Source organism: Homo sapiens, chromosome 5, assembly GCF_000001405.40.
Source record: "Homo sapiens chromosome 5, GRCh38.p14 Primary Assembly".
Taxonomy (NCBI): Eukaryota; Metazoa; Chordata; class Mammalia; order Primates; family Hominidae; genus Homo; species Homo sapiens.
In genome coordinates this window covers 78,348,683-78,361,732 of record NC_000005.10, presented here as the reverse complement: position 1 = coordinate 78,361,732, position 13,050 = coordinate 78,348,683, and the positions used below count along the sequence as shown (strand labels likewise).

The 13,050-nt window shown below is 44.4% G+C and overlaps 1 protein-coding gene and 1 long non-coding RNA gene across 5 annotated transcripts in view, besides 8 other annotated features; one reads left to right on the top strand and one right to left on the bottom strand.

The window, feature by feature from the left end:
• SCAMP1 (secretory carrier membrane protein 1) overlaps positions 1 to 1,116 on the bottom strand; it is a 120,123-nt gene extending 119,007 nt beyond the window's left edge. For all 4 annotated transcript variants that reach the window (NR_110885.2, NM_004866.6, XM_011543727.4 and 1 more), the window contains exon 1: positions 1,005 to 1,116. Coding sequence is in view for 3 of the 4 variants with exons in the window: in NM_004866.6 (NP_004857.4) it covers positions 1,005 to 1,061 (57 nt within the window). In the remaining variant the exon portion in view is untranslated. The remainder of the gene's footprint in view (positions 1 to 1,004) is intronic.
• Positions 357 to 476: an enhancer, noted in NCBI's record as "active region_22708". NCBI's record gives its function as "activates an Ori minimal core promoter by ATAC-STARR-seq in GM12878 lymphoblastoid cells {active_cell/tissue: GM12878}" and the evidence as "EXISTENCE:reporter gene assay evidence [ECO:0000049][PMID:35858748]".
• Positions 567 to 686: a silencer, noted in NCBI's record as "silent region_16120". NCBI's record gives its function as "represses an Ori minimal core promoter by ATAC-STARR-seq in GM12878 lymphoblastoid cells {active_cell/tissue: GM12878}" and the evidence as "EXISTENCE:reporter gene assay evidence [ECO:0000049][PMID:35858748]".
• Positions 871 to 1,467: an enhancer, noted in NCBI's record as "NANOG-H3K27ac-H3K4me1 hESC enhancer chr5:77656090-77656686 (GRCh37/hg19 assembly coordinates)". NCBI's record gives its function as "activates a minimal SCP1, AML or CMV promoter by ChIP-STARR-seq in naive H9 embryonic stem cells {active_cell/tissue: H9 hESC(naive)}" and the evidence as "EXISTENCE:reporter gene assay evidence [ECO:0000049][PMID:30033119]".
• Positions 871 to 1,546: a biological region, named in NCBI's record as "NANOG-H3K27ac-H3K4me1 hESC enhancer GRCh37_chr5:77656090-77656686".
• Positions 1,117 to 1,206: a silencer, noted in NCBI's record as "silent region_16119". NCBI's record gives its function as "represses an Ori minimal core promoter by ATAC-STARR-seq in GM12878 lymphoblastoid cells {active_cell/tissue: GM12878}" and the evidence as "EXISTENCE:reporter gene assay evidence [ECO:0000049][PMID:35858748]".
• SCAMP1-AS1 (SCAMP1 antisense RNA 1) lies at positions 1,192 to 2,969 on the top strand. The gene is made up of 2 exons (NR_105014.1): positions 1,192 to 1,519; positions 1,748 to 2,969. It is a non-coding gene; the product is annotated as an SCAMP1 antisense RNA 1 (long non-coding RNA).
• Positions 1,387 to 1,546: an enhancer, noted in NCBI's record as "active region_22707". NCBI's record gives its function as "activates an Ori minimal core promoter by ATAC-STARR-seq in GM12878 lymphoblastoid cells {active_cell/tissue: GM12878}" and the evidence as "EXISTENCE:reporter gene assay evidence [ECO:0000049][PMID:35858748]".
• Positions 1,468 to 2,064: an enhancer, noted in NCBI's record as "NANOG-H3K27ac-H3K4me1 hESC enhancer chr5:77655493-77656089 (GRCh37/hg19 assembly coordinates)". NCBI's record gives its function as "activates a minimal SCP1, AML or CMV promoter by ChIP-STARR-seq in primed H9 embryonic stem cells {active_cell/tissue: H9 hESC(primed)}" and the evidence as "EXISTENCE:reporter gene assay evidence [ECO:0000049][PMID:30033119]".
• Positions 1,577 to 1,666: an enhancer, noted in NCBI's record as "active region_22706". NCBI's record gives its function as "activates an Ori minimal core promoter by ATAC-STARR-seq in GM12878 lymphoblastoid cells {active_cell/tissue: GM12878}" and the evidence as "EXISTENCE:reporter gene assay evidence [ECO:0000049][PMID:35858748]".
• Positions 2,970 to 13,050: the final 10,081 nt, after the last annotated feature.

The following is a 13,050-nucleotide window of genomic DNA, read 5'->3' as shown; positions in this document are numbered from 1 at the left end:
GGGGGATTGAGAAACAACTTCAACCAACAGTTGGAAACAAATTACACGTGCTAACAGTTACACTCATTAGGAAATTCAGAATACTTTCAAAGAGAGAGTTATTTAGATGTTGCATTCATTTAAACGCAGACGATGAATATCTCAGCCGCCTTCCTTTGCAGGATTCTGTGCCAAGCCCTTCCGAAGCCGGGGTTGATAAGGTCGACTCCAAGAAGAAAAGCAGCTCAAGTAGGAAATGGTATCCTCACATAGCCCAGAGAACCGGTGACGCACTAGGAGCTTGGAAAATATCCCATCGTTTACCTTGCTAGAAGCAGCTGGGTAGGGAAGAGGTCGTCCACGTGCACTATTGTTTTCCAGATATGTTTATTTTTAAGTTTTGCTTTGGTATCAATAACCTCAACCTCAACCTAACAGAAAGAGGGGGGATGGCAGCGCCACTGGTGGTATTTGGGTGCAACACAAGTTTAAAAAATAAAAACATAACCTTTTTTTTTTTAATTGCAGCATACTCGGTGCCCTCACCTCTCTCCTCCTCCACACCTCTGCCATCACCCCACGCAGCTCTCCGCCGCCGCCACCTCGGGTCCCCATGACAACCCCACCCCAGGGCGGGCCCCCCTCCGCCGACTCCCGGCCCTGCCAGCCACACTTGCTTGGCAAGGGGCGACTCTACCTGCCCTCGGCTTTCTCTCCTGAGAGGCGGGCCAGGACCCCTCCGGGCGCGCGGGCCCAGTCCCGGCTGCAGACACGACCCTCACCAGTCGGGGACGTGTGGAAGGGCGACCGGGCACGAGCTGAGGAGGTTCCACCCCCAAGCCCCAAAACCCAAAGGAGTGACACGGGGCCGGGGCGCGACCCCAAATGGAGGACGGCGGCCCCGCGCCCCTCTCTGGGCTGCTAAGGGGAGCCGAGGGGCAGACGCAGTGGGCGCGAAGGAACTCGTCCGTTTTCACAAACAACGACGCGTCGCGGCGGCAGGAGATGCTGGGGCCGAAGCTCACCTTGAAGGGATTGTTGAGATCCGGGTCGGCAAACGGGTTACTGTCGAAATCCGACATCTCTCTGGCTCTCGGCGTCACCCACCCGACCCAGGCGCAGAGAGAGAGACGAGGCGAGGCCGCCGCCCCCCTGCGCGCTCACGTCGCCGCCGCCGAGCAGATCCGGGTGCAGCTCGCGGGCCACCCAGCCGGCCGCGCCACTGAGCATGCCCGGTGCGGCGGGCTCCTGGCCGCGGCGCAGCTCGCGTTCGCCATCCCGTTCCTCCGGGCCCGGATCCCACGCTCCGGGCTTTAGCTGCGACCGAGTAGGCAGTCGGGGCGAAGGAAACGGGAACTGAAAGCGATGAAAAGCGTTCCACACGCCACGAGCCCGCGGGATCCTCGGAGAGTATGGAACCCTTCCCCTCCGCTCTCAGCCGGAGGCCAGCTGCGTCCAGCCGGGCTCGGTCTTCTGAACACCGATTTCAAATCAGGTCCTCGGGGCCCAGCGTCACTTAGGGAAGTGGTGGCATTTTGTGGTAAGGACGCACACTTGTCAGGTTGGGGGAGGCAGCCTGAGTCGTGGGCCGCGCACCCCGGGAGCAGTGCCGTTAGACCGTGGGACGCGGGCACTGGAGAGGCTACTGCACCGCCCTCCGCAAATTACCTCCCCGGGGCGGGGGCGCGGCCGCTGCTAAGGATTTTTGCATACCCCTGACCCCACCTGAGAATCCCGGCCTCCCATCTTCCGGTCTCTCTGACTCTAGGTTGCTGCTAAATCACGGAGAGCAGCCTTGGCGCTGCCGGTCCCAACTTGATCCAAGGAGCCTTGAGAAGGAGATGAGATTCAGTACCAGGGGCCGGCCGTGGCTCCCATCCTCCGGAATCTGCAAAATGGCTACTTCTTCAGAAATAATGGGGAGAGGGATGGCAAGAGGCCAGAGATCAAGGCCCTCGAGTATTAACTTGAGCATTTGGGCACAAAATAGACACTTTTGGATTTTCCCGTCTTTTCCAACACCAAGGATGAGATTATCAAAAGATGTGTTAAATTAATTTGTACCGGCCGGGCGCGGTGGCTTACGCCTGTAATCCCAACACTTTGGGAGGCCGAGGCGGGCGAATCACAAGGTCATGAGTTCGAAACCAGCCTGGCCAATATGGTGAAACCCCCGTCTCTACTAAAAATACAGAAATTAGCCGGGAGTGGTGGCGTACGCCTGTAGTCCCAGCTACTCTGGAGGCTAAGGCAGGAGAATCGCTTGAATCCGGGAGGTGGAGGTCGCAGTGAGCCGAGACCGGGCCACTGCACTCCAGCCTGGGAGACAGAGCGAGACTCTGTCTCAAGAAAAAAAAAAAATCAATTTGTACCATTCCTTGCCCCACCCTGCCGAACTTATTGAAAGAGCATCGCTTTCCTCACTTTTCTCCTCTAACAGAAAAGCACTTAGATGAAGCTACAGGGAGCCAGAATTCTTTTGACTTGGTGGGTACCGGAGGATTGGAAGAATCTAGATTGAGTATTCCTTGGCCTTTGGGGAGCTTGCTCTATGCAAAGTCACCCAGGAAATGATACTCCCCCCACTGTGAAACACTAGCTAGAGATGATAGACAAAAAGCACATTTGTTGTAATCTCCCTTTGACGGGATTCAGGTTGGGATAGATGTCGAAGCAGCTGCTTCTAGGTAGTCAACGAAGATGTCAACTAGTAAATGACAACAGACAAGGATGAGCACAGCAGAGCTGTACGATTCTAGATATCAAAAAGAGCAAGCAGTCTGTTGTACTCACCATCGCATCCTCAGCAGCTGCCCAGTGCCCGGTTTTAACTTAGTGCTCAGTGTATGTGTCAGGTTTGAATCCCAATTCTGATACTACCTGTGCTACTCTCTTCACCTCTCTGAGTCTGTAAAGGATTATTTAAGAATTAAATGAAACAACATACAGAAAAGTGTCCTGCATGTATATTTAGTGCCTAACAAATATTGGTTGAACGTCGAAAGTGGCAAGGAGGCTCAGTATGTTCTTATACGCTTTGCCTCCCTTCTCCTGAGCAAGCATGTCCTTGCCCAGCTCATCTGCTTCTCTCACCACTTTTGCCCTCACTCCCTCCACCTGTCCTCCAAATGACTCAAAATAATCTGCACTATTTATTATGCATCTACTATGTTCCAAGACAATGAGGGTCAGCTGAGCCCGCATTGCAGGATGGAAATTTCCAACTATGTTCTGTTTACAGCTAATGATATTTGCACCTAATGCAAAGGTTTACAGACTTTACTGTTATAGAATCATTTGGAATACCTGTTGAAGATGCAGACACCCACCTTACCATACCTCCTATTGCTAAGATTACGCTTGAAAGGATCTGAGGTAGGGGCTCTGGATCTGCATTTTTTATTTTTTACATCTCTATACATTATTTTACATAAATGTATAAATGGAGTCATGACATACATATTGAATTTTTCACTTACAAAAATTTTTATTCCGTGTATTCCCTCTTCTCTTCCCCTACATTAACAACCTAGTACATTTCTTTAAATATTCTTGTAATAGTGTATATCTGCACTTACATAAAATAACATGTAATTGTATAAAAACAATACATATTCATGCAGATATGCATACACTCTAATACTGAGCTTTGGCATTGTCTTGAAAAAGTTAGATCATATGTATATTTTTCTGCAGCTGTTTTTCTCAATACGTATGGCAGAATTTCTCAGCAAGATGTGCATTGTCAGAGAGACAGTCTTAAGGTTTCTTCCCCTAGTATGCCACATAAATATTATCACTTTTTATGTGTAGCATGCCTATAGAGTGAAAAGGGAAGCATGGCCTAATGGAAACCATATATCTGATTCATTATTCTTAACAACTGCAAAAATCAGCATATGTAAAGGATCTCAGGTGATTTTTTTTTTTTTTTTTTTTGAGACCGAGTCTTACTCTGTCACCCAGGCTGGAGTGCAGTGGCACAATCGTGGCTCACTACAACCTCCACCTCCCTTGTTTAAGCAATTCTCCTGCCTCAGCCTCCCGAGTAGCTGGGATTACAGGCATGCACCACCACACCCGGCTAATTTTTGTATTTTTAGTAGAGATAGGGTTTCACTTTGTTTGCCAGGCTGGTCTCGAACTCCTGACCTCAAATGATCCAGGCCACCTCTGCCTCCCAAAGTGCTGGGATTACAGGCATGAGCCACCATGCTTGGCCAACCTGAGATGACTTTGGTGGTGGCTGATCACACTTTTGGGAACACTGATATGAGGACATGCAGACATATGGTCCATGGGTGAGGGTCTTAATCTGTTTGTGTTGCTATAAAGGAATACGGGAGGCTGGATAATGTATGAAGAAAAGAGGATTATTTGACTCATGGTTCTGCAGGCTGTCAGCTTCAGATGAGGGCCTTATGCTGCTTCCACTCATGCAGAAGGCAAAGGGGAGACTTCGTGCAGAGATCACATGGCTACAGTGCAAGATGGGGCATCAGGGGAGAGAAAGGGAGAAGCTGACTCTCGGTTCTTTTGAACAACCTGTTCTCAAGGATGAGAACTCACTCTCAGGAGAATAGCACCAAGCCATTTGTGAGGAATTCATCCATATGGCCCAAACACCTCCCACCAGGCCCCAACTCCAGCACTGGGACTCATATTTCAACATGACACTTTGCAGGTCCAAAGCCATACCCAAACCATAGCAGGGAGCTTATTAATTCATTAGCCTCCATGAAATTTAGAATTATAGAATGTGCGAGCTGAGAAGGAACCTCAGCCTCTCTCATGATTGAAGAAACTGGAGTTTGGACAGGTTAAGTAATTTGTCTCAGACACCAAGGAAGTGAATGGGGAAACAGGGAACAGAACTCAGGTCTCTTGACTAATGTTTTAGACATTAAATAAATAGGTTATTAAATGAATAGAATTATTCTATATGAATAATTTCATATAGAAGGAAGAAATGCTATGTGCAAGGTAGAGAGAAATTATACAAGAAGCCTCATTTGGTGCAGGAGTTCATTTTACGGAAGGTACCTCCTAAATTTGGTAGAACAAAGACTCAAAACCAGTCTATGCCCTCTCTCCTGCAAACCAACCGTTTGATCTTGAACATATCAACTCACCTTTCTAACCAGAGTTTCTACTCTAGTACATCATTCAAGTATTTCTTGAGCAACTAAAACAGTGATGTTGTGGATAAAGCAGTAAACCAGGTATAAAGCGTAAGGCCTGCTCCAGAAAACTTCCTAAAAGGCCTAGAACATGGCTAAAGGATATCTCAGATCCTTTGGACAGTTCTAACGTTCTATTAATCTGGGACAGTGGCTCACTCCTCCCTAACCCTGTTTCTTTTCCCCTCAGAGTGTGCCTCCCATCATCATCATGCTGCTTCTCCTCAGACTGACACTTTTAATTGGTGAACCTATTGAGCAGGGTCTAGAGTCTGAATTCCTTGTTTTCTAAACTGCCTAGCTTATAGCTGGGGAATGCTAGGAAAATGCCAAGTTAGATATTTACGTTTCTTGCCTCAAAAGGTTCACTGGATTCTGGGTTCACTGATGGATTAGAACTGAAATCCATCATCTCTTACAGTGGGTCTAGTCTCCAGATTTGCTGCTGTGTCTGCTGATACCCTCGACGCCCCAGCACCAGCCTATCTGGCTCCCTATTCTGCCACTGGCTACATTTTCAGGCAATAACAGAGGAGGTGCAGGCATTGTGTGGTAGGCCAAATAATCCTCCCCTCCCCCAAAGATGTCCATGCTATAATCCCTAGAATCTGTAAATATGTTACCTTACATGGCAAAAGAGACTTTGCAGGTGTAATTAAGGTTAAGAACCTTGAGAGGAGGGGATTATCCTGGATTATTCAAGTAGGCCCAATGTAATCACGAGTCCTTGAAAGTGGAAGAGGAAAGCAGAAGAGTTGCTGACTTTGATGATTGAGGAAGGGGTTCTTAAACTAGGGCATGTGAGTGGCTTCTGAAGCTGGAAAGAACCCTCAGCTGACAGCCACCAAGGAAACAGAGATTTCAGTCTTACAGACTCAAGGAACTACATTCTACCAATGATCAATGTACAAGGAAATAGATTTTCCCTCGAGCCTCCAGAAAGGAACCTAGCCTTGCTGACACTTTGATTTTAGACTGGTGAAATTCATGCTGAACTTATGACCTACAGAGTTGTAAAATAAATAAATAAATTTCTTGATTGTGCAGATTATTTTGTTAAAAAAAGAAAAAAACCAAATTTTTGTATTAAGATGCTAAATTGGTAGTAATTTGTTTCAGCAGACAGAAAATCTAATACAGATGCTTCTTGATTTACAATGAGGCTATACCCTGATAATCCCCATCGTAAGGTGAAAATGCATTTAATACCCCCAATAAACCCATTGTAAAGTCGAAAAATCATAAATCAAACCACTGCAAGTCAGGGACCACCTGTCCACACCACTGTGGTGTGGAAAGTAGAAGAAAGAAAAGGGACGTACACTCAGTTTCCTGGTGTGCCAGGAAACTTCCAAGCAGCAGAACCAAGGGAAAAATGCAAAGGGTGTTAATGAAAAGAAAGTGAATGTCATTTGACTTGTCCTGAGTGAAGACCCTCAGTTACGGCCAACTTTAACTATGTAAATAGCATGGAAACAGTATTCTTTTTAAAAAGGAATATACAAACCAACTGTATTTGGCTTCGAATTCAAAGTTTACTATTAATAAAGGGAAAAAGCAGATTTTCCACTCTTGCTCTTCCACAAATTCTGCAATACTCTCAGAATGTGTATTACTCTGTCATATAATTGATGTCATCATCATATATATTCCAATTGGCCATAGCACCTTGAAGGCAGGGTTTGTATGTTTTTCAACATTGTCACTCCAGCATCTGACATGGTGCGGCAAATAATTAGTGGATGAATGAATAAATGCCGCAGCTTCCATTTGAGGCTTAACATCATCTTTGCTTCCATTACTAAAATACTATTTGAATGACTCTTCCCTCATTGCAAATGCTGTCTTCTTAAACGTTTTTATTAAGTACTCCTTTGCCTAAAAACCTTTATGATCTCCTTGTCAGCTATAGGAGAAACACTAAATTCAGTATCATATCACTCACGGTCCTTCCTCACATGGCCTCAGTCTATGCTTTCAGCCATACCTTTCCCCCACTGGCTCTCTACATGCATTTATTTATGTATCTGCTTCCCCTTCTCCTTTTTTTTCAAATTTTAGGACTTGTAGTGCAACCCACTAGTCAGTCATAAACTCAATTTAGAAGGCTATGACCAGCACATTTTAAAAGAGAACAGAAAATATCCAAGTACGTGGCACACAATAAACAGAAGCTGCACAAAACCTTTGTTTCAGTTGTGTGTACATGCGTGTCACACTTAAAATTTATTTATTGTGGTCATGGCTCTAAACTGAGAATTCCTCAAGGACAGATTATGTTTTATTTTATTATGATTGTTGGCTTTTATTATTCCCAGTACTTATCACAGTGGCTGGTAAAACAATTATAACTTGTTTATTTGTTGAATGAACCAGACTGAACTAAGGGTATTTTGGAGTTAAAGACTGTAGAGCTACACCAACAGCACAAAGTCAAGTAGTGTGGGTTTCCTCGAGGGATCAAGGCAGTCTGCCTGTCTCCACAGGATGCCCTCAGTTCTCCCACATTATCACAGCATATGTACTTGGGTCCCAACGGCAACTCCACTGCTGCCTCCCAATCAATTCACAAATTGCTATGGAACATCTCTGGGGTAGGGTTCTGACCTAGAAGAAACCTGAAATATAGAGGTTTAGTCCTGGGACCAGGATGAGGGTGAGGCCACAGAGGCTTCTAGGGCACCAATTTTAAGGAGACATTCACCCTCAGGGTCGAGCAAGTAGCAACCCTGCATTCAGTCCTTTCCCTGTCTTCTAACCAAGTTGATGAAATCACACAAGCACAAAGAAGCACCAGGGGCTTTGCAAGAAGGCCAGCCTGGGTTCAGATTCCTGATCTGCTGCGTTCTGGGTTGTGCAACTCTTCAGGCAAATTGCTTATCCTCCCTAATCCTCACGTTCCTCTCACCTCCTTCATTACCACGCTAATTCAAGCCATCAACATCTCTCACCTGGATCACTGCCATAGTCTCTTAACTAGCCTCCCTGCCTCCACCCTTGTCCTCCTACAATTTATTCTCCACACAGTGCCAAACTAATTCTTTTAAAATGTAAGTGAGGCCAGGCATGGTGGCTCACGTCTGTAATCCCAGTACTTTGGGAGGCTGAGGTGGGCAGATCACCTGAGGTCGGGAGTTCGAGACCAGCCTGACCAACATGGAGAAACCCCATCTCTACTAAAAATACAAAATTAGCCAAGTGTGGTGATGCCTGACTGTAATCCCAACTACTTGGGAGGCTGAGGCAGGAGAATCACTTGAACCCGGGAGGCAGAGGTTGTGGTGAGCCGAGATCATGCCATTGCGCTCCAGCCTGGGCAACAAGAGCAAAACTCTGTCCCCTCAAAAAAAAAAAAAAAAAAAAAAGTAAATGAGAACATGGCCCTCATCCACTCAAAGCCCTCTAATAGTTTCCCAGCTGTATCAGGATAAAAGCTTGGGCCTTGCAAGTCCCTATGGATTCCAGCCCCTATTGCCACTCTAACTTTATTTCCTATTCCTCTCCTTCGCATTATCTTGTTTCAGGCCCCCGGCCTCCTCACCACTTCACGTGTCCCCCAGGCGTGCTCCCACCACAGAGCTTTTTTCCTTTTGTTTCCTCTGCCTGGGTGCAGTTCCCGCCTCTTGACTGCATGGCTCACACATTCACTCATCTCCTGCAAGTCTTTGCTCAATTGTTACTTTCTCAGTAAGGCCCTTCCTAACCTCCCGTTAAAAAATGTTAGCCCTCTACTCTCTAGCACTTCCTCCTTCCCTGCTGTATTTTTCTCTAAAATGCCTTGCACCATTTGACATACTCTGCTCCCAGTAGAATATAAGCTCCTTGAGGATAAGAACTTTTGTCAGTTTTGATCACAGAGATCTCAATGGCTAAGACATAAGAATAGGGGCTCAAAACTGTTGAATGAATGAATGAAAGAATAAATGAATCAAATAGGGATAATAATAGCCCCTCCTAGAATTATGAGACTTAGATTAGAGGATGCTCAATAAATGGTAACTATTACGATTAAGGGACAATTAAGAACTCAAGAAATTAGTTAAAGAATAACTTAAAAAAGGTTAAGAAGTACAAAAAAGGCCATTTAAGATGAGCAAAGGCGGTAGGCACAGTAGAGGCATTCAGAGGGGAGTGAGGTGGTTGTGGCTGGAGTGGGCTGTGGAAACTTCAGAGAAAAAGAAGGATTTGACTCGGGCCTTGAAGGCCTGATGATACTGCTATCAGCATGAAGCATGGAAAGGACAAAAGAGCATACCCATTGGGGCAAAAAGCTTGCGCACAAGCACATATATGAGAGAGCACAAGATAGAAGCGCTTTCACCATCTCACATTTACTGTGGGAGAGACGTCAGGAGAAAAGGTAGCAAGAGAAGAGGTGCTCTCCTTTCTCCGCAGGTGCTTTGGTATATTTATCGGTTATCTTCGACTCAATGAGTTGACCACTAGCAAGCCGTAGATTCACACCACCACCCATTATCCAGCTGGCTGCCTTCCAAGCTCATCGCCTAAGCCAAGCCCAGTCCAACCAGCTGTATACAGTAACCCACCCTTTCCCATGTGATTATATGTTGTTCAAGAGACTGAGTGGTCTGAGTATCCCCCAAATAATTAGAACACAGTGGCATTCCTTTATTATTCATTGTATTAAAGTATTCTATATCACAGGAACACAATAGATATAACAAAATAAATATATTTTTGAGTCTCCGTTTACCTATACATGCATATAGTCTCCTCTACCAAGAATGCCCTTCTGTCCCTCAATTTCCACGTCAAAGTCCCATCAATGCCTGGTGGCCAATTTCAAATGATACATCCTATAGAAATTCTTACTAGATATCCATAACCCAAATTTGTCTCTCCTGTCCCTATAGTATGTAAAACAATTTGTTATAGAATTCATAATAGACCCATCTCCTATGAATATAAAGTTATTACTACATGCCAGTGATTATGGTGAGCTCTCCATAAATATTTGTGAATGAATGAATGAATGTATCTGTCTCTCTGTCTCCATTATATGAGCTTCTGAAGGCAGGAAGAAATTTCATTTTTTTAGCATAGCTTCTGTATTCCTTTGTTCTCACATTGCTATAAAGAACTACCTGAGACTGGATAACTTATAAGGAAAAGAGATTTAATTGGCCCATGATTTGGGAGGCCTCATGAAACGTACAATCATGATGAAAGGTGAAAGGGAAGCAGGCATGTCCTACATGGCTGGAGCAGGAGGCAGAGCAAGAAGGGGAGGTGCTACACACTTTTAAACAAGCAGGACTCGTGAGAACTCACTCACTATCACAAGAACAGAAAGAGGGAAGTCAGCCCCCATGATCCAATTACCTATCACCAGGCCTCCTCCAACAGTACGGATTACAATTCAACATGAGATTTGGGCAGGGACACAAATTCAAACCATATCAGCATCCTACTCATATTAGGTGCTGAATAAATAATTGCATCTTCACTTATAAAAGAGATTGCCACTTAAAATCTTCAGCCAGAATAAGCTTAAAGATAAGATTAAGAGCAACTATTTTATTTATTTTTTAGAGACAGGGTCTCAGTCTCTTGCCCAGCCTGGAGTGCAGTGGCACAATCATAGCTCACTGTGGCCTCAAACTCCTGGACTCAATTAATCCTTCTGTCTCAGTCTCCCAAGTAGCTAGGACTACAGGCACCCACCACCATGCTTGGCTAACTTTTTAAAATAATTTTGTAGAGATAGGGTCTTTCTATGTTGCCCTGGCTGGTCTGGAGCTCTCAGCCTCAAGCAATGCTCCCACCTGGGCCTCTCGAAGCATGGGATTACAGGTATGAGACACTGTGCCTGGCCAAGAGCAACCATTGTGGTAATCAACACAAACAGAATTGTGCAGTTATGATAATAACTCTAGGACAGAAATTCTGAATTCTAAATGATGATTTCATAGAAACACCGTGGAAGCATTTCAAATGGTATGGGTCAATGAAATGCAAAAACTAACTCTCTTGGCACATTCAGGCTGCTATTAAAAAATACCTTAGACTGGGTAGTTCATAAGCATAAATGCATTTCTCACAGTTCTGGAGAGTGCGAAGTTCAAGATCAAGGCACTAACCCACTTAGCATCTGGTGAGGGCTTGCTCTCTGCTTCATAGATGGCACTTTCTTGCTGCATTCTTATATGGTGGAAGGGGTGAACAAGCTCCTTTAGGCCTCTTTTCTAAGGCCACTAATTGCATTCATGAGACCTCCGCCCTCATGACCTCATTGCCTCTTAAAGTCCTCTTGAAGTCCACATCTCTTTTATTGATTGATTGATTGATTGAGATGGAGTCTCGCTCTGTCACCCTGGCTGGAGTGCAATGGCACCATCTCAGCTCACTGCAATCTCCGCCTTCCGGGTTCAAGCTATTCTCCTGCCTCAGTCTCCCAAGTAGCTGGAACTATAAGCGCACGCCACCACGCCTGGCTAATTTTTGGTATTTTAGTAGAGACAGGGTTTCACCATGTTGCCCAGGCTGGTCGAGAACTCCTAAACTTAGGCAATCTGCCCACCTTGGCCTCCCAAAGTGCTGGGATTACAGGAATGAGCCACTGTGTCCGGCCAAATCGACGTCTCTTAAAACTATTGCATTGGAAATTGGGTTTCAGCATATGTGTTTGGAAGGGACACAAATATTCACAAAATAGCACTAACTGTAAAGCTCTTTTTACTTCCTAGAATGATCTGCATAACAATTTTATGGTGAAATTATTCTCATTTTACAAGATAGACATTATTACATATATGTGTGTATATATGATTGTATACGTACACGCCTAAATATTAAGGAGGCATTTACCAGTGATCATATTTAAGACACTGTAAATTTAAATAAGTATGACAGTCCTGTGACTACTTTGAATACTCAATTTTATATGTATGTGAAGACTAAGAAAGAGGACTACTTTTATTTTTATCTGGGTACATTTTAAGAAAACTGAACTTTATTTTGTTCATGAACCTTAAATTTTATAATCATACTTGCTATTCCTAAAGTCTATGCAACTTCACAAAAGTCCTCATAAAAGTAAAGACAGTTTACAATTCTTAAATTGCCTATTAGCCATAAATCTTCAAGGGACTCCTGTAAGGCAGAAAGTAATCATGGTAATCTAAACCCACTTTCTGATCTCCCCAAAGAAATACCCCCAAATCTGATTATGAAGCGTTTAAGGAAAGAAATGTTACTTCCTGGTTCTCCCTTTCTACTTTAAAACTGAGAGTTTTCAAAAAAAGAAATTAGGTTTATTTACAATGCTATTATCTTCCCTGCCTTATGTGAACAGAGAGTAGAAACAGCTGAAATTTCTTGAACACCCTGGCGTATGTCAGGCACCGAAATGCTGGAGGTGAAACAGATATTTTCTTGTATAACAACATAATTTTGGGAGGTTAAGTATCTTTATCTTCGTTTTACAAATATGAACAATGGGAATTTGGAAAAGTGAAGTAAATATGAGGGTTATTTTAAGAATTATTATGCAAAATAGAGGCCTCATATTTGGGGTTTTATGTTGTTTGTCTTTGTATTCTATAGTAGGCTTTTATTATTCTGCCCAAGTAGAGAATTCCATGTTTTTGTTGTTTTTAGAGAAGCGACACAATTTTGTTTGCTTATTAAGCACACCACTGTAACTCATGCTTCCCCAATGTGCAACTACAAGATGACTGGGGAGAAACAGTGACAGAGATGTGAATAATTATATTCACAATCTCCAGTTCTCTCGCCCACCTCCACTGCATCACCTCCCTTCATCTGACCAGTCCCTGGGGTTTCACAGTTGGTTTCCCTCCATTTGTGGCCTCAGGAACCTTGATGGTTCTGCCTGCCACTTGGCATGGTTTTAGGATCTGGACCTGAG